This window comes from Homo sapiens, chromosome 12 (genome assembly GCF_000001405.40).
Source record: "Homo sapiens chromosome 12, GRCh38.p14 Primary Assembly".
Taxonomy (NCBI): Eukaryota; Metazoa; Chordata; class Mammalia; order Primates; family Hominidae; genus Homo; species Homo sapiens.
In genome coordinates, this window is record NC_000012.12 from 109,855,903 (window position 1) to 109,879,590 (window position 23,688).

Here is a 23,688-nt window from a genome sequence, read left to right on the forward strand (position 1 = left end):
TCATCTTTCCCTTCTGCTTACAAGTAACGTGACCACTTGGCTCCATTGACTATCTCCCGAGCACCTTCTCTCCTCCAGGCCTGGTGCTGGCCCATGACAAGTCACACTGGCTGTAAGATCCACGAGGGGTGGGTCTGGGCCTGCCTTGTCCATTTCTGTGTCCACATGACCCCCACAGGCTGGAACATGGTAGGCAACCATCAGGCTTGAGGAATGAAGCCACAGTGCTGGCCCTCGAAGGGTTCGCGGACCACAGACTGTGGATACACTGGGCACACTGGCGAGACTGGCCCCGCGTGTACCAGGCTTCCCGCCTCCACTCCCCAGCCCTCAGCATCTTTCTAAGTCTGCTACGGTGCTCCTCTGCCTGAGACCTCCCTGAGCATCCTCCAATGGCCACTCGAGCTTTTCCTCAAGGGGCAGGGTGATGTTTTGAGAGCCAGGAGAAGCGGATGGGGTACAACAAGGAGTCCACATCGAAAATCTCACCAGGGCCAGCCCCTTAGCACACATCATCTCATCTCTTGCTTCCCTGGGGCCTGTGAGGCTGAGCTTGGCACAATCAGCCCATTTCACAGAGGAAAGCACTGAGGCTCCCCTAGAAAGGCTCAGTCACAGGCCAGGATGTGAACCCTGCCTGCCTCACTGACCCCCAGCAGGCTCTTTCCTTTGCTGCCCCTCACTGTCCCACTGGGGTCCCCAGATGAGCTGCTCTGCTCCCTCCCTGCAGTGGGGTGGGGATCAAGTCAGGGTGGGGTGCTCTAAGGGGCAGGAGCACTGGGTTTAAGGGCTGAAGAGTCTGTAGCTGGTAGAGAACAGCATGAGTTCAAACTAGCCCATAGGATGTATTTGTGCAAATTAGAACTCCTCCTCACGGCCGGGCACGGTGCCTCACACCTGCCTCACACGGATCACTTGAGGCCAGGAGTTTGAGACCAGCCTGGCTAACATGGCGGGCTTGTCTCTACTAAAAATACAAAAATTAGCCAGGCATGGTGGTGCACACCTGTAATCCCAGCTATTCAGGAGGCTGAGGCAGGAGAATTGCTTGAACTTAGGAGGGGGAGGCTGCAGTGAGCCGAGATTGTGCCACTGCACTCCAGCCTGGGTAACAGAACGGGATTCTAAAAATAAAAAATAGAAGAATTCCTTCTCCTCAAGATGGTGTACTTCTACCAAGAAACTGTCATAACATACAAATCCACTTTGTACGCGTGACCAGCCCTAAACAGGACACCTTTGTGCAGTACGCAACCTGCATAACTGTGCTGGATGACATGGGCACGTGATTTGGCCTCCAGAAGCGCCAGCTGCCTCCTCTGTGAGATGCGAATAGCTACCACACTTAACTCACAGAATATGAAACCCAATCAGGTGTATAAAGAGCTTAGCACAACTCCCAGATCAGGGTGTGCTCATATACTGATGGGACTGGAACCAGGAAGCATCACTGTCAGGCAAGCCCTGGCCATTGGGAGGCCTTTTCCCAGCCATTAACTAGCATCACACTGGAAGGGCTCGGAAGTGACCTTCCCAGCCTGAGCTGACACTGCGGAACAGTGACAGGTTTGCTTTCCCTCCTCTGCAGCACAGAGCCCAGGCCCTGCCACCTGAGCCCATCACCTTTTCAGCCACATCAGCGCCAGTGTGGCCCCTACTTTGGGCCACTCTGCTCCATACATTTCTTTCTCCACCTCCAGGATGTTCTGCAGGGTCCGGAACTTGGCTGGGTTGGTGTCGTACACAGCTTTGATTTTCTGAAATGGAGCACACAAGATTTCCCCTTGGGTAAGCTGCCCCCATAGACATCTGGCCCGCACGCTGGGTGAAAAGCACCCTACCGGCATCTCCTGCTCCTTCCTGCCCTCCAGGAACAGCAGGGATAAGACTTGTAACAATAACTATGACTGTTCACATGAGCCAGGATTTGCAAAATGCTTTACAGGCACTACCTTATATGATCCTGGTGGCAAACCTGATGTTGCTGTCATTATCCCATTTTACAGGCAGAGACACTGAGGCTCACAGAGGAGCACGGACTTGCCCAAGGTCACACAGTTGGTACAGAGTTCATGTTCTCCAGCCACTACTGACACTGCCTCAGACACCAAGTATCTGAAGTTTTGCTTTGGTGGACAAGTGGAAATAGGTTCCGAGGATTCCAAGAAGTCCAGGAACGAAGGCCTCTGAGATGGAGCCAGGTAGGCCTGGGTCTGAATCCCAGCTTTGCCACGTACTTGCTTGTGACCTTAAGCGAGTCCTTCAACCCCTCTGAGTCTCAGCTTCCTCATCTGTAAAAAGGGGATAACACAGGACCAGCCTCAAAGGGCTGCTGGGATGAAGAAATGAGATCATGCAGTGTGTCCCAAGCCCTTGGCTGGGCCCTAGGTGGATTCTCACAGGCAGTCTATGGCTGGGGAGGCGGCATCAGGAACTACCAGGATTGGAGAAGGGGAAGGCCAGACCAGTGCTGACTGTAGACTTTGGAGCTTACTTACTTGGTGGGGATAGATGAAAGAACCAGCAGGTTCCTTCTCAGGGTCAACCCTTTAATTAGACTTTGGTTCCAGTCAGGCTAGACTGGTGACCAGATGGCAAGACTGTGGAGGAGGGCAGAGAACATTGAGCCCTGATTGGACAAGCTTGGGGCCCATCTTCCATGTCTCCATTCCCTTCCTTGGGGTGGGAAGCTTGCAGCTGGGACCATGATGCTGGTAACCCAGGTGGGCTTAGATTCCTAACGCAAGTCTTGGGCTGTGGCTGCCCGGCCAGGTACATACCGTGATGTTGCCGCTTATGTCTGCCTTGATGGGAGTAAACACTGGGGACCCAAGGCAATCTGGGGACAAAATGAGAAGACAGATTGAGATTCGCAGCAAGAGTGATTTTTCAGGGCCACCGCAGGCCATGGGGACATGGAAGGGTGGATTACATGGTGTGTCCCGGGGAGAGCTGAGTTGTTCTGGATGTTACTAAGGCAGCATGGGCTTGGGTGCAGCCCCCAGCTCTGTTCTCTCAGCTTCCTGTTTCCTATCTGGCAAATGAGGCTACAGCACCAACCACAGAGGCATGATGAAGATGGCTTGAAATAAACAATCCAATCCTAAGACACACATTTGATTCATCTCTAGAATCAGAATGGTATTTGTTTGTTCTTTGAGGTTTATCTTGAGACAGGGTCTCGCTCTGTCACTCAGGCTGGAGCACAGTGGTGTGATAATAGCTGACCACAGCCTCGACCTCCTGGGTTCAAGCCATCCTCCCACCTCAGCCTCTGGAGTAGCTGGGAATACAGGCACGCACCATCATACCCGGCTAATTAAAAAAAAATTTTTGGCCTGGTGCAGTGGCTCACGCCTGTAATCCCAGCACTTTGGGAGGCCGAGGCGGGTGGATCACTTGAAGTCAGGAGTTCAAGACCAGCCTGGTCAACATGGTGAAACCTTGTCTCTACTAATATACAAAAATTAGCTGGGCGTGGTGGCTTGCGCCTGTAATCCCAGCTACTCAGGAGGCTGAGGCAGGAAAATTGCTTGAACCCGGGAGGTGGAGGTTGTAGTGAGGGGAGATCACGCCACTACACTCCAGCCTGGGAAACAGAGCGAGACTCTGTCTCAAAAAATAATTTTTTTTTTGCACAGATCTTGATGATCAGGATCTTGTGTAGACCTAAGCTAATGTGTCTGTTTTTAACAAAAAAGATTTTTTTTAAAAAAAAGTACTTAACTTTTATAATAGAAAAAAGCTCATAGAATAAGGATATAAAGAATTTTTTTCTAGAGCTGTACAATGTGTTTTTTTTTAATTGTATAAAACATTTGATTTATTGGTCTTTGGGGGAATTTGATGCATCACCACTATATTAGAACTGAGCCATTAATTTTGTAGCTTCATCAATATTAACTACTTTATTTTCATGATGCTGCTGAGGAATCAGTTCTTTCTACAGAGGTTCAAGAGAAAGTCCTTTTAAGAAGTGTGCAAATCTCGTATATTTATTAGATTGGTGCAAAAGTAATTGCAGTTTTTGAATACAAAAGCTTTATCTACTCTGTTGACTTTTTCATCATTCATAACGTTTAACTTTTTTTTCCCCGAGACTTTTTGCTCCCCTTGCCCAAGCTGGAGTGCAATGGTGCAATCTCAGCTCACCGCAACCTCCGCCTCCCAGGTTCAAGCGATTCTCCTGCCTCAGCCTCCCGAGTAGCTGAGATTACAGGCACACGCCACCATGCCCAGCTAATTTTGTATTTTTAGTAGAGATGGGGTTTCACCATGTTGGTCAGCCTGGTCTCAAACTCCCAACCTCAGGTGATCCGCCCGCCTCAGCCTCCCAAAGTGCTGGGATTACAGGCGTGAGCCACTGTGCCCAGCCTCGTTTATCTTCTTAAGACTAGTGGTAACTGGTTTTGCTTTGTTGGTAGCCTTAAAGTGTTTTCAGCTGGCTATATGAAATACACTCCTGGACTCCTGCCCTCTTAATTTGTTCTCGCCATTGTCTTCAATAGTAGCATGCACCTATGTGTGTTTTTAAAGACAGGGTCCTTTGGCAACTGAAGAAAGATAAATAAAAATAAATAAATGCATAAAATAAAGGCAGGGTCTTGTTCTGGCACTCAAGCTGGAGTACAGTGGCAAGATCACAGCTCACTGCAGGCTTCAACTCCTGGACTCAAGCGATCCTCCCGCCTCAGCCTCCCAAAGTGCTGGGATTAGAGGGATACACCATCACACCCAGTAGAATGTTCTTAAATGGAGGCGTTTTCCTTTCTTGGTGGGTTATAATATGTCGGAGCATCATATAATAGGTAACACCTTGGAGATGATAAAATGTAGACCTGGAAACTGCCTGGCAGTGCCTAGGACTGCTGGGATCTGCTGAAATGTGAGCAGCCTGCTGCCTGCCTCTCCTCCTCTCCCTCTTTTGTCACCCCCATGGCAGGCTGTCACAGGACATCTTGCCCCTTACATGCAGGAAGTATGCAGGTTCTTTACTGAGCAGGCTAGATGTGGACTTTACCTTTGAGCCTGAAGACAGATTACCGGGCTTCCATGACACCTTTTCATTGTCCTTGTTGCGGTCCAGAAAAGTGAGCTCACTAAGCCTGCTACAGAGCCCAGGGGACAAAGACCCCAGAGCAGGCTAGAGGTGGGTGCCAATCCCACGGGAGTGAAAGGCCAATACCCAGGAGGCCAGACAGGGACCTCAGTGTGGGCACCAAGTGACCGCATGAGGGCAGAAGGCTAGGGGTGGAACTTCCTTAAGCCAAATTCCACCCAGGGTGACCCTGCACACCTGGCCAGCCATCTGGAACATTCTAATTGCAGCTATGAAAAGAGGTGCATGAGAGAAACAGCATTAAACATTTAAGGAAACAGCCCATAGCCCAATGGAAAGAAGGTGGGCTAGGGATTCAGCCAGACAGGGTGAGAATCCTGCACGACCACTCCCCAGCCAAGCAAGTCTCCTCGCCGCTGTGTGCCTCAGTTTCCTCTTGTGTCAAATGGGGCAATAGTAGTACTTATTTCATATGCTTCTTTAAGAAATTAAAAATAAGGCACCGAGGCCAGGCGCAGTAGCTCACGCCTGTAATCCCAGCACTTTGGGAGGCCAAGGCGGGCGGATCACAAGGTCAGGAGTTTGAGACCAGCCTGGCCAACATGGTGAAACCTTATCTCTACTAAAAATACAAAAATTAGCCGGGCGTGGTAGCAGGTGCCTGTAGTTCCAGCTACCCAGGAGGCTGAGACAGGAAAATCGCCTGAACCTGGGAGGCAGAGGTTGCAATGAGCCGAGATTGTGCCACTGCACTCCAGCCTGGCGACAGAGCAAGACTCCACCTCAAAAAAAAATAAGGCACCAAACACATGTAGCAGAGTGCCCGGTGAGTGGTGAACACTCAGTACCTGAACTTCAATCATTTTTATGACCTCATATCATTACTAGGGTCATGTGCTGTGACCCAGCAAATGACATCATCGTGGAAGCCACAGGATTCCCCAGAACCTCCATCGAGTGGGACTCATCCTTGACCTGTGCCCCTGCTGCTTTCTCTGTGCTCCCCTGTGAGGCCCCGCTAGGGCTGGGGCTGCCACCTTGACCTGCTGCAAGCTCCGGGCATGCTGTCGTCATGCTAGGCCACGAGCAGTCTCCTCTCGGCAACTGAGCCTCTTTCCAACGTCTGCAGAGGCAAATCTCCCAGCAAGGGGCCATGCTGGAGCCTTCCCTAGGGTGGTCACGTCAGAGGCTGCTCAGAGGTGCTGCGCCAGGGGTGCGGGCAAAGAATCCAGGGTGCTCTGGTCTCCCAGACAGGCCTGCCAAGCATCAATGGGGTGACGACTCCATGCCACCCTTTAACCTCACCTGATGGATCACTGACCTCCGCTGCGTGTAGAGGCCAGCCTGGGGAGGTCATGCCACTTGTTAGCCCTGGAAGGTATTCTCTTCCAGCACTGCTACTGCTGCCTCTCTGAAAGGACCGTGCATTCTCAACTTACATAATAACGCCGGAGCCAAGATCCTCTTTCCTCTGCCAGTGACTACAGTGCTGCCAGGGGGTGCAAATTCCAACCCTCACAGGGGGCCAGGCAGGTGCCATGGATGGGCTACATGGGGACTGGCAAAACCCATGCAGACGTATGGCTGTTCCTCAGCTCCAGCTGACGGCTTTACATCCTCATCTTCCCAAAATGTATAATGAGCTGGACGTGGTGGCATGTAACTGTAGTCCCAGCTACTCAGGAGGCAGAGGTGGGAGGATCGTTCAAGCCCAGGAGTTCAAGGCTGCAATGAGCTATGATTGTGTCACTGCACTCCAGCCTGCGCAACAGAGTGAGACTCCATCTCTAAAAAAAAATTAAAATGTGGGCCAGGCGCAGTGGCTCACGCCTATAATCCCAGCACTTTGGAAGGCCGAGGCGGGTGGATCACCTGAGGTCAGGAGTTCAAGACCAGCCTGACCAACTTGGTGAAACCCCATCTCTAATAAAAATACAAAAATTAGCCAGGTGTGGTGGTGCATGTCTGTAATCCCAGCTACTGGGGAGGCTGAGCCAGGAGAATCACTTGAACCCAGGAGGCAGAGGTTGCAGTGAGCCGAGACTGCGCCACTGCACTCCAGCCTGGGCAACAAGAGTGAAATTCCATCTCAAAAAAATAAATAAAAAATAAAAATGCATAATGTCCAAAGGCTTACATTAGACTGATGGATGGATGGACAGAGATATGGATAGATAGGCACAGTAAAATATTAATGGTAACATCTAGATGATAGGTGTATGAGTACTATTTGCTGTAAAATTCTTTCAGCTTCGCCACATGTTTGAATTTTCTCATAGAAAATACTGAAAAAAGTAATGTCAGGTTTTTTTTCTGCTCATAAAATCCTATTTCTTTTTCTACTTTTTCTTTCAAGTCTGTTTTACTGTTACAGTGATCATAGTCACATGTGTTACACCTTTGTTTTTTAAACCAACAATCTTGCCACCAGACTTGAGCTCTGAAGAGGGCAGGGACAAGGTTCCCTGCTATGCCCCCAGCACCCAGCAGATGCCTGACCCCAGTTGGTACTTGTATGACATCTGTGGAATGAATGAATGAGTGAATGAATGGACTGTGGGAAACGTGGAATCTGTCAGCGTATTTCCCTGCCAGGCTCTCCATCTCTGTACCCTCCTATGGTTCAGACTGACCCAACACACTGGTTTTAAACACCTATCCAACCCAGATGACAGAGGATATGTGAAGGGACTTTGGGCCTCAGTTCCCCTGTTTATAAAACGGATATCCTTCTAGGATGTTCTTCTGCAGGGCTGCTGTGAGAGAGAGGTGTCACACGTGCAAAGTGAGGGCTCAAAGCACTGACCACGATTGTTTTTACTGCCACTGGCTGGTTTTCAACCAAAGCCTTCCAGTGAAGAAGAGATGACGGCAGGGCCTGATGACAGATCACCATCGACCATGGGTGGCTTATTAGCTTTTCTTAATGACTCCGGTCATTCAACATGCATTTCAGAGATGCAGAAAAATGTTATGCAGCATCCTTGTGCAGTTCTGAGCAGCCCTGCCCTGGTGGCAGGGAGAAAGGCTTTTTGTTTTGTGTTCTCCTAACCATGAGCTACGAGGGTCACGAGGCCACCATGGTCAGCAGAAGCTGGGCCCCAACAGCAGCTGTTATTGTGTGTGGGGCCACCACACAGGGCCAGAGCTCCCGCTCAACAGTAGGGGAGGAATGTGGGGCCTCAAATGCACTTCTGGGGCTGGGAGCCTAGCAGAAGAGAGGGGAGGCGAGGCAGGGGCTGGGAACAAGACCCCAGACTACTTCCATGCTCTACCCACAGGGAGCCACCAGCAGGAAAGGCAGCTCTGTATGCATCTCTGTGTTACATAAACAAGCACGCTGAAGTGGGTTTGGAAGCATCTGGAGGTGGGCTGCCTGCAATTAGCAGTGGCGTCAACCTGGGCAGTGGCACTGAAGCAGTGGCATCCACAGTCCTGGGTTTGAATCTCAGCTCTGGTGTGAGTTTGGCCAAGTGACTTAACCACTCCAGGTTCAGGCCCTTCGGTTTCTACAGCCCAGAGGTGCTATGCAAACAGGAAGTGCTCTGTATATGGTTGGGCTGAAGCCTGTTTCAACATCACCCACCCAAGGCTCTGGGCTTATGTTTGCCTTTGGTGCAGTCCAAGGACATCAAGTCACAGAAAAGCCAAATGACTTGCCCAGGTTACACTCCAGGGAGTGCCAGGAACTCAGACACAATTCCAGAGCCAAAGCTGCTTCCACTACACCCTTAACCTTTCTGTCTAGAATGTTACCATTCTTTGAACTCAAAGAATGTTTCTTTGAGGTCCTGTGAACTCAGAGAAAATAGGAAACCAGAAGACGATTTTAATTCCCAAGCATGTGGTGGCTTTTCTAATAGTTTATTTTATTTATTTACTTATTTTATTTTATTTTATTTTTTGAGGCAGAGTCTCACTCCGTTGCCCAGGCTGGAGTGCAGTGGCGCAATCTAGGCTCACTGCAACCTCCACCTCCCGGGTTCAAGTGATTCTCCTGCCTCAGCTCCCCAGAAGCTGGGATTACAGGCGTGTGCCACCGCACCCAGCCTCTAAGAGTTTAAATTCAAGCCTGTGCCTGCTCTGAATACAGCATGACATGTTTCTACCAGGCTCTCAAGCCTTCCCTTTCCTACAGAATGCAGCCTTAACCCCAAATTACCCTTCTTGTTTGACCAGTTTTGCAGTTACTCCAAACTTGTTTTTTTCAATTGTTGTCAGCAAACAGCCTCTTTGAAATGCCACCCAGAACCTGTCTGCCTGGAGGGAGGGAAGGGACTTGGAGGGTTTTCTAGTTCATGACCTTCAGGGAGAAAGGAAGCTGTCTTTTAAACATTTTTTATTTATTCTTCTTCTTCTTATTTTTTAATAGAGACAGGGTCAGGCCGAGCATGGTGGCTCACGCCTGTAATCCCAACACTTTGGGAGGCCGAGGCGGGCGGATCACCTGAGATCCGGAGTTCAAGACCAGCCTGACCAACATGGTGAAACCCCCATCTGTACTAAAAATACAAAAATTAGCTGGGCATAATGGTGCACATCTGTAATCCCAGCTACTTGGGAGGGTGAGGCAAGAGAATCACTTGAACCTGGGAGGCGGAGGTTACAGTGAGTTGAGATTGCGCGTGAGATTCTGTTTGAAAAAAAAAAAAAATAGAGACGGGGTCTTACTATTTTGCCCAGGCCAGTCTCCAACTCCTGGGCTCAAGTGATCTGCCAGCCTTGGCCCCCTCAAAGTGCTGGGATTACAGGCGTGAGCCGCCATGCCTGGCCTGAAGCTGTCTTTAAAAAAAGAAAAATCAGATGTGGTCCCACCATCTTCTTTCACAGACCCAACTAGAGTGAGCAGATTCCAAATACAGTAAAGCCTTGGTTATCTGGAACAGCTGGCAAACGGCCCCTTCTGTTTAATGGAGAAGGCTTTTTCCAATGCACGCTACTCAACTCAGAAGGCACAAGGAAAGAAACCAATAAATCTAATTATAAAAAACAGAAACCTCCTATATGGGGGAGACGAGAAATCCCACCACCAACCAAAGCCAAACAACTAGGGGGGCAGAGAGTAGAGAGTCTGTGTAACAAGGATAACAGAAAAAAGGCTAATATCCCTAATATGTAAACAGCTCTTACAAATCAGTAAGAATAAAACAACAGCCCTACAGAACAATGGGCAATTCACAATAGAAATGAAAAGATGCTTAATCTCAATAATAACAAAAAAAAAGTGAAATATTTTCCATCTACCATTTTTTAAAAAAAGAGTCTTGCTATATTGCGCAGGCTGGAGTGCAGTGGCCATTCACAGGTGCAATCCCTCTACTGATTAGCATGGGAATTTTGACCTGCTGTTTCTGACCTGGGCCAGTTCACACCTCTTTAAGCAACCTGGTGGTCCTCTTTGCCAGGAGGTCACCATATTGATGCCAAACTTAGTGCAGACACCCAATCAGTGTAGCACACTACAGCCAAGAACTCTTGGGCTCAAGTGATCTTCCTGCCTCAGCTTCCTGAGTACCTGGGACTACAGGTGTGCACCACTGTGCCTGGCTCTCAAATATGAATATACCATCAGCATTCTAGTTCAGCCATCCTGGATGGAACTCATCAAAATGTAACACAAATGTCACTGCTTTCATAGTGGAAGCCATTCGTAGCTTTCTGAACAGGGCCATCATCAAAAATACGAGTTATGATAAAGATGTAGCCCAGAAATGTCACTGGTCCCCTCAAACCGTCACTAAATGACTCTGGATGGTGTGCCTTTAGGCTTTTAGGACAACTAGACAGCTTTGTGTATCTTTTTTTTTTTTTTTTTTGAGACAGGGTATCACTGTGTTGCCCAGGCTGGAATGCAGTGGCACAATCATGGCTCATTGTAGTCTGGAACTCCTGGTCTCAAGCAATCCTCCCACCTCAGCCTCCAGAGTAGTTGGGACTACAGATGTGCACCACCATGCTGGGCTAATTTTTTTTTTTTTTTTTTTTTTACCTTTTGTAGAGACTGGGACTCACTATACCATTGCCCAGGCTGGTCTTGAACTCCTGGGCTCAAGCAATCCTCTAGCCTCGGCCTCCCAAAGTGCTAGGATTACAGGCATGAGCCACTGTACCTGGCCAACTTTGTGTATTTTTTTAAAACTCCTGTTGATGGTTGACAGCTACTTCTTCCTGCAGTGCTTCAATTATTTATTATTCTTTTTTTTTTGAGACAGAGTCTCACTCTATAGCCCAAGCCGGAGTGCAGTGGAGCAATCTCGGCTCACTGCAACCTCCGCCTCCCGAGCTTAAGCAATTCTCGTGCCTCAGCCTCCCGAGTAGCTGGGACTACAGGCGCACGCCACCATGCCAGGCCAATTTTTTGTATTTTAGTAGAGACAGGGTTTCACCATGTTGCCCAGGGTGGTCTCAAACTCCTGAGCTCAAGCGATCCACCCACCTCGGCTTCCCAAAGTGCTGGAATTACAGGCGTGAGCTACCGTGCCCAGCCAAATTCTTATAGATACTTAAATACCAAATAGCCACCAGAATCAGAATCTCCTGCAAAGAGAAGGTATGCACCAATGAGGGGTTTCATGCATGGCCTCTGGGACAATTCTGACTAGACAAGGGCTATCTGGGGCCTCCTGCCTGGATCTCTGCCACAGTTCAGATGGGTGACATTGCCCAGAAAGCAGAATTCCCTGTAAGCCAGCAGTGACCATATGCTACACAGAATCACACTAATTTCTCTTTTTTCTTTTGAGATGGGGTCTCATTGTATCACCAAGGATGGGGTATAGTGGCACAATCACAGCTCACTGCAGCTTTTTCTTTTCTCTTTTTTTTTTTTTTTTTGAGACGGAGTCTCGCTCTGTCGCCCAGGCTGGAGTGCACTGACACGATCTCAGCTCACTGCAAGCTCCGCCTTCTGGGTTCACGCCATTCTCCTGCCTCAGCTTCCTGAGTAGCTGGGACTACAGGTGCCCGCCACCACGCCTGGCTAATTTTTTGTATTTTTAGTAGAGACAGGGTTTCACCGTGTTAGCCAGGATGGTCGCGATCTCCTGACCTCGTGATCCACCCGCTTTGGCCTCCCAAAGTGCTGGGATTACAGGCGTGAGCCACCGCGCCTGGCCTCACTGCAGCTTTGACCTCCGAGGCTCAAGTGATCCTCCAGCCTCAGTCTCTGGAGTAGCTGAGACTACAGACACATGTCACTACGACCAGCTAATTTTTTGTTTTTAATTTTTTGTAGAGATGGGGACTCACTTTGTTGCCCAGGCTGGTCTTGAACTCCTAGCCACAAGTGATCCTCCCGCCTTGGCCTCCCAAAGCACTGGAATTACAGGCAGGAGCCACTGTACCCGACCTCATTTCCTCTTTTTCTGGCCTCAAGAGAGTTGGACAGTACTGGTCGTTATGCTCTTAGCAAGACCACAGCATATACCTGGAAGTTGCCATCCAAGCTGCCCCTCCATGCCTGCCTCTTCAAACAGCCATCTCTTACAACATGGGATGTTCCTGACATTGAGTAACAAGGTGACCAAATTGCCCTGCCCTGGCCTACCCTCTCGTTTCATCTCAAGAACAATGTTCAGGGAAAAAAAAGGACTCTTAAAGATGCACAGCTTGCTTCACTTTCAGCCTGTGTGATTCAGGACAGAACACACCTAACCCAATTCATAAACAGTCATTTCCAGAAAGGAAGAACAGGATGCCCGTGTCGTGATGCTACAAGCCTGGTGTGGGGAGGTTCTATTGCAAATTCAATGGTTTTTTTCATAGCTGGATAATAAAGTTCAGTTGTTAAACACATGAGGCAGATTAACTTTATAGGTCTTGGGTTACAAGGATCATAATGGAAGACACTCAAATTACAGCTGATGGAGATGAATCATTTATTAATCTGGGGGTGCGGGTTGTCATGGCTCTGCTTACTATAAGGCCTATTTTTAAGGATACGAGCCTTGAGATTACCTACATTTCTAAAACAGGTTCCTGCTCTGAGTCTACTACCTAAAGAGGAAAGAATGTTTACAAAACAATTCAAAATACTTCTTTAAAAACTTCACCCCCGGGCCAGGCACAGTGGCTTACTCCTGTAATCCCAGCACTTTGGGAGGCCAAGGCGGGTGGATCACTTGAGGCCAGGAGTTCAAAATTAGCCTGGCCAACATAGTGTGAACCCGTTTCTACTAAAAATACAAAAATGAGTCGGGCATGGTGGTGCACGTCTGTAATCCAAGTTTCTCAGGAGGCTGAGGCAGGAGAATCACTTGAACCCAGGATGGGGAGGTTGCAGTGAGCCAAGATTGATTGCGCCACTGCAATCCAGCCTGGGCGACAGAGTAAGGCTCTACCTCAAAAAAAAAAAAAAAAAGAAAGAAAGAAAGAAAGAAAGAGAAAGAAAAAAAGAAAAACTTCACCCTCATGACATGCCAACTATTTGTCCTATAATTGCTCCCGGTTCAGGAAAAAACAGTCTTGAACTAAGAATGATGCAGTTGGGAAAATTCTTTTTTTTTTTTTTTTTTGAGACGGAGTCTCACTCTGTCGCCAGGCTGGAGTGCAGTGGCCTGATCTCGGCTCACTGCAATCTCCAACTTCCAGGTTCAAGCGATTCCCCAGCCTCAGCCTCCCGAGTATCTGAGACTATAGGCAAGCACCACCACACCCAGCTAATTTTTTTTTTTTTGTTTTTTTGTATTTTAGTAGAGACAGGGTTTCACCATGTTGGCCAGGATGGTCTTGATCTCCTGACCTTGTGATCCGCCTGCCTCGGCCTCCCAAAGTGCTGGGATTACAGGTGTGAGCCACCACACTCAACTGGGAAAACTATTATCATTATTTTGAGACTCTCACTCTGTTGCCCAGGCTGGAGTGCAGTGGCGCGATCTCGGCTCACTGCAACCTCCACCTCCCAGGTTCGCACCATTCTCCTGCCTCAGCCTCCTGAGTAGCTTGTGCCACCATGCCTGGCTAATTTTTGTATTTTTAAAAGAGACAAGGTTTCACCATATCTCGAACTTCTGACCTCAAGAGATCTGCCTGCCTGGGCCTCCCAAAGTGCTGGGGTTACAGGCATGAGCCACCGCACTCGGCAAGTTTCCTCATTTTTAAAATGAGGCTCATAATGGACCCTTCTTCAAAGGGTTGCTGTGAGGCTTAAATAAAGTTGTATAAATAAAGGCCTAAGCACAGTTTCTGGTACCTAGTAAGTGCTCAGTGAAAAAGAAGGTATTAGGCTGGGCACCATGGCTCAGGCCTGTAATCCCAGCACTTTGGGAGGCTGTAGCGGACAAATCACCTGAGGTCAGGAGTTCAAGACCAGCCTGGCCAACATGGTGAAACCCCATCTCTACTAAAAATACAAAAATTAACTGGGTGTGGTGGTGTGTGCCTATAATTCCAGCTACTTGGGAGGCTGAGGTAAGATAATTGCTTGAACCTAGGGGGAGGGTGGAGGTTGCAGTGAGCCGAGATCATGCCACTGCACTCCAGCCTTGGTGACAGAGCAAGACTCTGTCTCAAAAATAAAATAAAATAAAATAAAATAAAATAAAAAGAAGGTATTATCATTTATGCTTATTATTATAAATTATATCATCATCACCTTTCCCAACAGACAAAGCTTTTCTTTAGAGAGGAAATCCAGAAAACAATTATTCCAATGATTAAGAAATCAAAGCAGAAGGAGAGGAAGGAAGGGAGGAGGGAGAAAAAGAATTATTGACTCATTGATTGATTGTTAGGGGTAAAATTAGCAGAAATCTCCCCATCATAAAATAATGACTTCAAATGTATTCCAGACCATTAAGACAGAGATCTCAGAAGGGAGTGAAGTAAGGAACTTGGAGGAACAGCAAGGCAGAAAATGAATCATTTCTGAACACAGGGGAAGTGTGAGTCGACTGCCTAACTGCCAGGGTGGAAAGCAGAGGCTTCTAGAAGACCCTGGAGAGGGCTGATCCACTGCAATGACTTTGAAAAGCTCAGATACAGTTAACACTCTAGCAAGAACCACAAAAAAGGCCTCCATATAAGTACCACTGTAAGTACGTAATAAAAGGAGTTAACATTCACTCTGGCAGGTTTTTACTGAAACAATGAAACCTAAGACTAGGACCCAACATTTCCATTCTTTTTTTTTTTTTTTTTTTTTTCTGAGACGGACTCTCGCTCTGTCCCAGGCTGGAGTAGTGGCGTGATCTCGACTCACTGTAACCTCCGCCTCCTGGGTCAAGCGATTCTCCTGCCTCAGCCTTCAGAGTAGCTGGGATTACAGGATTGCGCCACCACACCTGGCCAATTTTTTTTTGTATTTTTAGTAGAGACAGGGTTTTACCATGTTGGCCAGGCTGGTCTCAAACTCCTGACCTCGTGATCTACCCGCTTCGGCCCCCCAAAGTGTTGGGATTACAGGCATGAGCCACTGCGCCCGGCCCCAATATTTCCATTCTAAGAAGCTCATTGAAATAATCACATTGTCATGCCAGCCGGGAACTTCCTATCATTTCCCCTCCTCCCCTACAAGGGACATTTCTGCCCTAGAGACGACTTCCAACGTCTTCCTGTTTCCTGATGTGGTGTTGGTCTCCCCTGTTACAGGGCTAGACCTGCTGTAAAGTCCTGTGGACCACTTCCTACCTTCATGACCTGATCAAATCGCTTCACCTCCCTGCACATTGGTTTCCTCTTCTGGAAAATGGTGCCAAATTCCTCCTAAGTTCATCATGAGGATTAGAAATGAGTTACTGCCTAATTCAATGGCATATCCTGGGAGCCACTCAAAATAGAGATGATGCTAGTTATGATCACGGTCATACGTTATATTTTATAAAGCCCTTTGTCATGAATTCCTCCCATTCCTTTTCACGTGGATATAGGCTGGGCGCCCATGCTGCAGAAGCCCATTGGTGGGTCCTGGGAGGGCCTGACTTCTGCCCCAAGGGATTCACAGTGGAGGGCTGTCCCTCCAAGCATCCCTGTGCAGCAGAGGAGGGGCAAGATGAGTTAGCAAGCAACTGTAGTCTCTCCCCTCCTACTCAATCCTCGTCCTTCTGGCAGCAGAGAGGCCAAACCTCAGGCTCTGACCTCAAGGGCCAGATTTTTCTGAACACAAAGATCTAATCACCACCATCCCAGGACCGGGTGGGCGGGTGCCACTGGTCTGTATGTACTCTGGCCTTTGGACATTATAAAGGAGGCTGCTGGAGCAATTGTCAGACTTAAGCAGCCATGCAGCTGGCTCTGTGCCCTGGCAGTCATTCACCAAGTCAGGCATTGATTTTGGTGCTCCTGCCTGGACTCACCACATCTTTCCAAAGGTAGGATGGATGGCCCTAGACCTTTAGGAAGTGGGCCTTTTGCCACACAGCTGTTGGGAAACGGAGCTGCCAAAAAGAAGCCACCTCGGGGCCTCTCAAGCTCAGGCTGGCTCAGATGGATGCCAGTCTCCGTGTTTCCTTCCACTCATCTGTCCACGGTGTTCAGGGCATGGATGTCAGAGGAAGAGAATCAGACTCAAAGTGACTTCTCCCCTCTGAGCCTCAAAAACAGCCGACTCATGGGCTGTTACACACATGGACAGAAAAACACAATAGGGCCCTCCATAGCCCTCCTTCCAGATTGTTCTCTGGCCAGGTGGGATCAAGAGTGGGACCCACCAGCACGGCACCAGCACACAGCAGGTGTTCCTGAAGGCTAAAAAAGCCTCACTTACTACTTGCAAATGCATCTCCGAAGTCTGCCAGCAGTTTCAAAATTGTACAGCCATTGCAGAAAGTGTCTCTCTGGCTTCTTCCTCCAACAAGACATTATTTGTTTCATCTTCTCAGGGTCCCTCCCAGGCACACAATCTAAATCACATTCCACTAGAATCCAGCTCTCAACAGTCAATCAAAATGATAACTCACCTGCTATATTAGGAGGGTTAATACAGTTTCTTGTCTTTCTTGGGATATTCTTCACCAACCTTGTCCAACCCGCAGACCGCAGGCTGCATGTGGCCCAGGACCGCTTTGAATGTGGCCCAATACAAATTCATAAACTTTCTTAAAACATTATGAGATTTGAGTTTTGTTTTGTTTTGTTTTGGTTTTTAGCTCCTCAGCTATCATTAGCGTTAGTGTATTTCATGTGTGGCCCAAGACAATTCTTCCAGTGTGGCCCTGGGAATCCAAAAAATTGTACACCCCTGTTCTATACAAAACCAAAAATAAACAGGTATTAGCATTAACTTTAAATTTAAAAAAAAAAAAGCAGAAAATATTGTAAGGCTGTGGTAGGTGGTCCCAAATCTCAGAGGATGCTTGTTGCAGTGGGGGAGCTTCTAACTCACAGATCAAGGGGTACAGGTGGGGCTGGTTCCCAGTTAGCCTGATGTCCCAGATGAAGGAAAAGCCAGAGCTGAGGCTGGGCGCGGTAGCTCACGCCTGTAATCCCAGCACTTTGGGAGGCTGACGTGGGTGGATCATGAGGTCAGGAGTTCAAGACCAGCCTAGCCAGCATGGTGAAACCCTGTCTCTAGTGAAAATACAAAAAATTAGCCGGGCATGGTGGTGCACATCTGTAATCCCAGCTACTGGGGAGGCTGAGCCAGGAGAATCACTTGAACCCAGGACGCAGAGGTTGCAGTGAGCCGAGATCGTGCCACTGCACTCCAGCCTGGGCAATAGAGCAAGACTCTGTCTCAAAAAAAAAAAAAAAAAAAAAAAGCAAGAGTTGAGCGCCGTGGCACACGCCTATAATCCCAACTACTTATGAGGCTGAGGCAGGAGGATCACTTGAGCCCAGGAGCTGGAGGCTGCAGTGAGCTGTGATCACCCCACTGCATGCCAGTCTGGGCGATGAAGCAAGACCTTGTCTCTTAAACAAAACACACACACACACACACACACAACCAGCCAACTTGTTTGGGGCTTTTCCCACAAGACGATTTCAACACTCCAGTCATTTTCTAATTTACATTCAAATAAACAGGAGTTATGGACCAGCTTGGCGGGCTGTTTATGAGTTACACACCTCAGAGCAAACCTGCATGTCTGGTCTGTGGCACCCACACCACTTGTCATGTGGACAAGTCACCATGGTGCCAGCAGAACCACTGGAATTCCTCAAGTACCCAACCAGGCTGGCTCCACTGGGGGTCTTCTCCTTTGCCAGAGAGAAAGCCAGGACAGCAGGCATGACAGCAAGAGCACCACATAAGGAGTCCAGAGGACTGAGTTCTAGTCTGGTGCATAAGGTGTCCAGAGGCCCAAGTTCTAGTCTGGCTTTACTGGTCACTCACTGGCTGTGTGACCCTGAGCAAGTCACCTAACCTCTCTGGCCTCGGTTTCTTTGGCTGTAAAACAAGATAAATCTCTGATTCTAGGCTGCCACTGCCACCCTCCCCCAAAATGGAACAAGCACTGAACCAAAAGTGATGGAAAACCACTCTTTCTGGGTTCACTCTAGGACTATTTAATGCGTGCCGGATACCTAGAAGGCCACATTCCACAGACATCCATTTAATTAAGGTAAGAGGCATGAAGAAAAATCAACCCCAGAATTTGGATCTCAAGAACCGAGAGGTAATGAAGAATCATTACCTTCAGCTCTTCCATCTCTAGACTCTCCCTAAACAGTGAGAGCAAATAGGTATCATCTCATGCAGCACTCTAACTGACCTGGAGTGGCTGTGTTAATAAAGATGCCGAGGCTGTGTTTAGGCTCAAAGGGGAAAACAGCATCATGATTGATTAATGATGTCTGCCACAAGTACAGGCTATGAGGGGGTTATGTATTTTAATTTAGTCATGTATCTTATTTTAGTTTAGTTTAGTTGATTTATTTTGAGACGGAGTCTCACTCTGCTGCCCAGGCTGAAGTACAGTGGTGCAATCTCAGCTCACTGCAACCTCCGCCTCCCAGGTTCAAGGGATTCTTCTGCCTCAGCCTCCCGAGTAGTTGGGATTACAGGAGAATGCTAACATGCCCGACCAATTTTTTTTGTATTTTTAGTAGAGACGGAGTTTCTCCATGTTGGTCAGGCTGGTTTCCAACTCCTGACCTCAGGTGATCTGCCCGCCTCAGCCTCCCAAAGTGTTGGGATTACAGGAGTGAGCCACCATGCCTGGCCTACTCATCTATTTTAATTTGGAAAGAGAGAGAAGGGCCCAGCATCTTCAACAAGAACCCAGAAGAATGAGAATGGAATGAAAAGCAGTCATTCAGCGAAAAGTACTAGCACCGAGTGTTACACATTGAAATAACTCAGAGTCACAGAATATGATAGGGTCCATGGGAGTCTAAGAGAGTTAGGAGAGACATTCTGGATAAGGTAACTCCTTAAGGATAAGTAGAACCCAAACAGGCAAAAGGAGGGAGGTGGGCTGAAGAGTAGAGTGGTCCAGCAGGCAGAGGGGCTGATGTGGGGAAGCTCTGGAGGCAAGAGTATGACAATACTGCCATGTGTGGGGCTACAAACCATTCACAAAGGCTAAAGCACAGGTTTCAAGCTGGGATGAAAGGGAACCACAGAGGCTTCTAGACAGGGAATGTCAAGAACTAGATGATACCTAAGTCTCCATGCCCCTGCCCTCCCATTGTTAATGCTTTAGAACAGCCACAAAATTGACCTTCAAAATGAGAAAGGAGACCTCCCAGAAGTCAGTCTTGCAAACTGATCAGTCAGGAAAGATCTGATTACTGGGTCAAGGTAGAGAGAGAAGATAAACAAAGGGCTGGCCTCTAAGTGGATGTAGTAAAACCTGTACAACTGGGAGATTCCAATTGGAGATAAGGAGGAAGGGCAGGCCCAAGATATGGATGCGCTAAATCAGGCAGGCAAGAGGCTGGCCCGCAGCCAGCGCCCACTGAAGCAAGCCCAACTAATGCTGTCACAAACCACACCTAACAAAGGTTTAAGAAATGTGGCTGCTCTAACAGGTTAAAGCACTCTTCAACTCAGCAGTTTCACTTCTAAAAATGAGAAATAACCAAAGGAGTGCACAAATAATTGAATATAAGGATGTTCACTGCAGCACTGTCTACCAGAGCCCGACATAAGAAGCAATGTGAATGTCCAACAGTAGGGGCTTGGTTTAATAAATTATACCACATTGAGATGATACAATCGGCCAGGTGCAGTGGCTCACACCTGTAATCCCAGCCCTTTGGGAGGCTGAGGCGGACAGATCACTTGAGGTCAGGAGTTCAAGAACAGCCTGGCCGAAATGGTAAAACCCCATCTCTACTAAAAATACAGAAATTAGCTGGGCATAGAGTCATGTGCCTGTAATCCCAGCTACTTGGGAGGCCGAGGCATGAGGATCACTTGAACCCAGGAGGTGGAGGTTGCTATGAGCCGAGATCATGCCACTGCACTCCAGCCTGGGCAATATAACAAGATCCCCATCTCTACAAAAACAAAAATTTAAAAATTAGCTAAGCATGGTGGCACATGCCTGTAGTTCTAGCTGCTCAGGAAGCTGAAGTGGGAAGATTGCTTGAGCTCAGGAGTTCACATCACTGCACCACTCCAGCCTGGGTGACATGGCAAGACAGAAAGAAAGAAAAACAGAGAAGAAAGAAAGAGGGAGGGAGGGAAGAAAGGAAGAAAAGAAAGGAAAGGAAGGAAGGAAAGAGAAAGAGGAAGGAAGGGAGGAAGAGAGGAAGGGAAGAAGGGAGGAAGGGAGGGGGAGGGAGGGAAGAAAAGAAAGAAGGAAAGGAAGGAAAGAAAGAGGAAGGAAGGAAGGAAAAGGAAGAAAGAAAAGGAAAGACAGAAAAGGACTGACATGAAAAGATGGTTATGCTATATTGTTGGGTAGAAAAAGCAGGTTATACTTATTTGTTTATTTATTTATTTGAGACAGGGTCTCACTCTGTCAACCAGTAATGAGCAAGAAATAGGCTTTATGTAGATTTTCTTTCTTTCTTTCTTTTTTTGAGACAGGATCTTGCTGTGTCACCCAAACTGGAGTACAGTGGCATAATCTCAGCTCACTGCAACTTAGGCGTCCCAAGCTCAAGTGATCCTCCCACCTCAGCCTCCTGCGTAGCTGGAACTACAGGTGTGCACCTCAACACCCAGCTAATTTTCTGTACTTTTGGTAGAGACAGGGTTTCGCCATGTTGCCCAGGCTGGTCTCAAACTCCTGACCTCAAGAGATCCGCCCACCTTGGCCTCCCAAAGTACTGGGATTACAGGCGTGAGCCACCGCACCAGCCCATACTTTTTTTTCCCCAAAAAGACCGATGTAAATGAGTTTGGAAGGAAAATATTCTGAAATCCCAGCAGAGATTCTTTCTTCAAAACTCTACCTCAAATGTTGTCAGACAATTGAATGAACTAATCTACATAGAGTACTTAGCACATAGTAAGGGCTCAGTGAGTGACGGGGAAATTTTTATATATCATTTGTATTTGCTCAGTTTTCCTCCAATTGACAGATCTTCCTTGCAGAATTAAATACTTTTTAAAAACACAGCTTTTGGCTCTGAGTCATATTTATATCTAGAGCTATGGTTCTCAGAGGTGATTTTGCCTCCCTGGGGATAGTTTAGGTTGTCACAATCTGGGGAGGGGGTGCTACTGGCGTCTGGTAGGTAGAGGCCGGGAATGCTGCTAAACATCTTACAATGCACAGGACAGCCCCACCACCACAAAGAATGAGCCAGCCCCAAATGTTGGCAAGTGCCATGGTGGAAAATCCCTGACTTGGAGGAAACTGTAGCTGCAAGGCGTTTCACACTCCTGGTGTCCCTCACCCCAGAGCAGCTCCATTCAAGAGACACACACACCACCCAGATCATCCCGGTGACCAGACGCTCCCAAGATCTAGAAAAAGCCCCTGCATCACAGCCGACAAATGATCTTGATCAGACGTCCCAGAGAAAAGTCACTCGTGGAAGAATCCTCCTAAAGCTTAAGTCTTCAACCTTCAGGAGCAATTCTCCTCCCCCCACAGAAGAGAATAATGGTTCAAACGAACTATCACTTTTTTTTTCTTTAGAGTCCTAAGAATCAGCCTCTTTGGTGAACAGTAAACAGCTCTGGTGGGCAGAGGGCCCTGTGGTGGTTAACCCATTGTGGACCAACCCCACTGCGGCTTCTGTATAAATGGTACTTCTGTCAACAGATGTGACACCCCACAGCACAGGGATTGCAACAAAGACAAGGGTCCTTTGAGACCAAGGAAAGGGAGGAGGAGATGCTCTTTAGCCCTGGCACCAGATGACTGCTGGCTCTGGCTTGCCACCTCCCTCTTTCCTCCAAAACCAGCCAGATAATTGCATCAAATGATGATACCCCCAAATACAGAACGGATGTGCAACCTCGCTGAAAATAAGGAAAGAAAAAGCCACAGAGTTTAACCTGGGATTTCTCCACCTTTGACACTGCTCATGTTTGGGGCTGGATCATTCTTTGTTGTGGCAGGACTGTTCTGTGCACTGTAGGATACTGAGCAGCTCCCTGGCCTCTACTCACAAGACACCCCGTGCCCCATCCCCCAACTCAGTTGCAACAAAAATGCCTCCAGGCATTGTCAGATGTACCCTAAGGGGCAAAACTGCCCTCAGTTGAGAACCACTGGCTTAAATGGATTCTGAATCCCTGTCCAGGGCAAGCTGGCTCTGACTTGGAACTATTCCTGCAACCAAAGAGGAAACAAGCAAGCAAAAAAAAAACAACAACAACCAACAACATCACAAAATTAAACAACTTTTCAATGCTAGAGCTGGTTCGCTCCCAAGCCCCCACCTGGAGAGTCAGTATTATCTCAAGACTGTGACACTGATAATAAGAAAGTTTTGTGCATTCAGCAGTATTGACTGAGCATCTGCTATGTGCCAGGCACTGTTCTGGGCACTGAGGACACAGAGTGGATGTAAAAAACCAAGCCCTTGCTCTCAGGTTGCTTACCCAGGTCTGGGAATCATACACACCAGACAATTGCACTCCCTCAAACACCGATTAATCACTCTAGCAAGGAACCAAAACTGGATTCAGGAACTTAAAACCACACCCCCTACAGCGAAGACCTATTTGGCACTTACGGCCTCGGTACTTTACACACACCACCTCATCGACTCCTCACAGCTGCCCTAGGAGATCAGCATCCCCGTTTCACAGCTGGGGACACTGAGGCTCACGAGGTGAAGGAGGGGAACTATAGCCTCCAGGTAACCACAACCATCCCAGAGCTCAGGACACTGTGGGAACTACCACCCCTAACAAGCCTTCTTTGCCCACTAAGTCGGACTGTCTTAAGATCTCCTGTCTTTGGGTTTCAGGTGGACTCTGCCCTGGGGGCTGGTATTTTCCTGCAAGGCCACCAAGTGAACCAGCAGGACAGGACAGAGCCCACATGGAGAAGGAGAATAGAGGCTCAGGTTGCACCCTTTACCCGGGACCCAAAAGGCAAAGGGCAGGGGCAGTGGTGCTGGCTTCTAGTTCCCATTTTCCATCTGGGGCCTTGGCTGGACTGGGCTAGGCTGAGGGAGTGCGGGAAGAGGGTCTGAAAGTGGACCGCCTTCCCAATGCGCCCAGGAACTTCCACACGACATACAGGGGAGGGGCTTCCTCTCGTAGAGCCCAAACTGAGGGAGGAATTGGTGCCAAGCTCTGTATGTCTGATGTCACCTCACAAAACAGCTCCCCCGAC

The 23,688-nt window shown here is 48.3% G+C and overlaps 1 protein-coding gene and 1 pseudogene across 2 annotated transcripts in view; both read right to left on the minus strand.

Moving 5' to 3' along the window:
* GLTP (glycolipid transfer protein) overlaps positions 1 to 23,688 on the minus strand; it is a 29,597-nt gene that overhangs the window by 4,958 nt on the left and 951 nt on the right. Inside the window, exons 2-3 of one of the 2 annotated variants that reach the window (NM_016433.4) lie at positions 2,781 to 2,839; positions 1,624 to 1,757 (exon numbers count right to left, since the gene is read on the minus strand). In NM_016433.4, the coding sequence (NP_057517.1) occupies positions 1,624 to 1,757; positions 2,781 to 2,839 (193 nt within the window). Of the gene's footprint in view, positions 1 to 1,623; positions 1,758 to 1,952; positions 2,233 to 2,780; positions 2,840 to 23,688 lie in introns of those variants that run through there. The other variant, XM_047428937.1, reaches the window with a different exon arrangement.
* Positions 10,312 to 10,607, minus strand: RN7SL441P (RNA, 7SL, cytoplasmic 441, pseudogene; annotated as a pseudogene).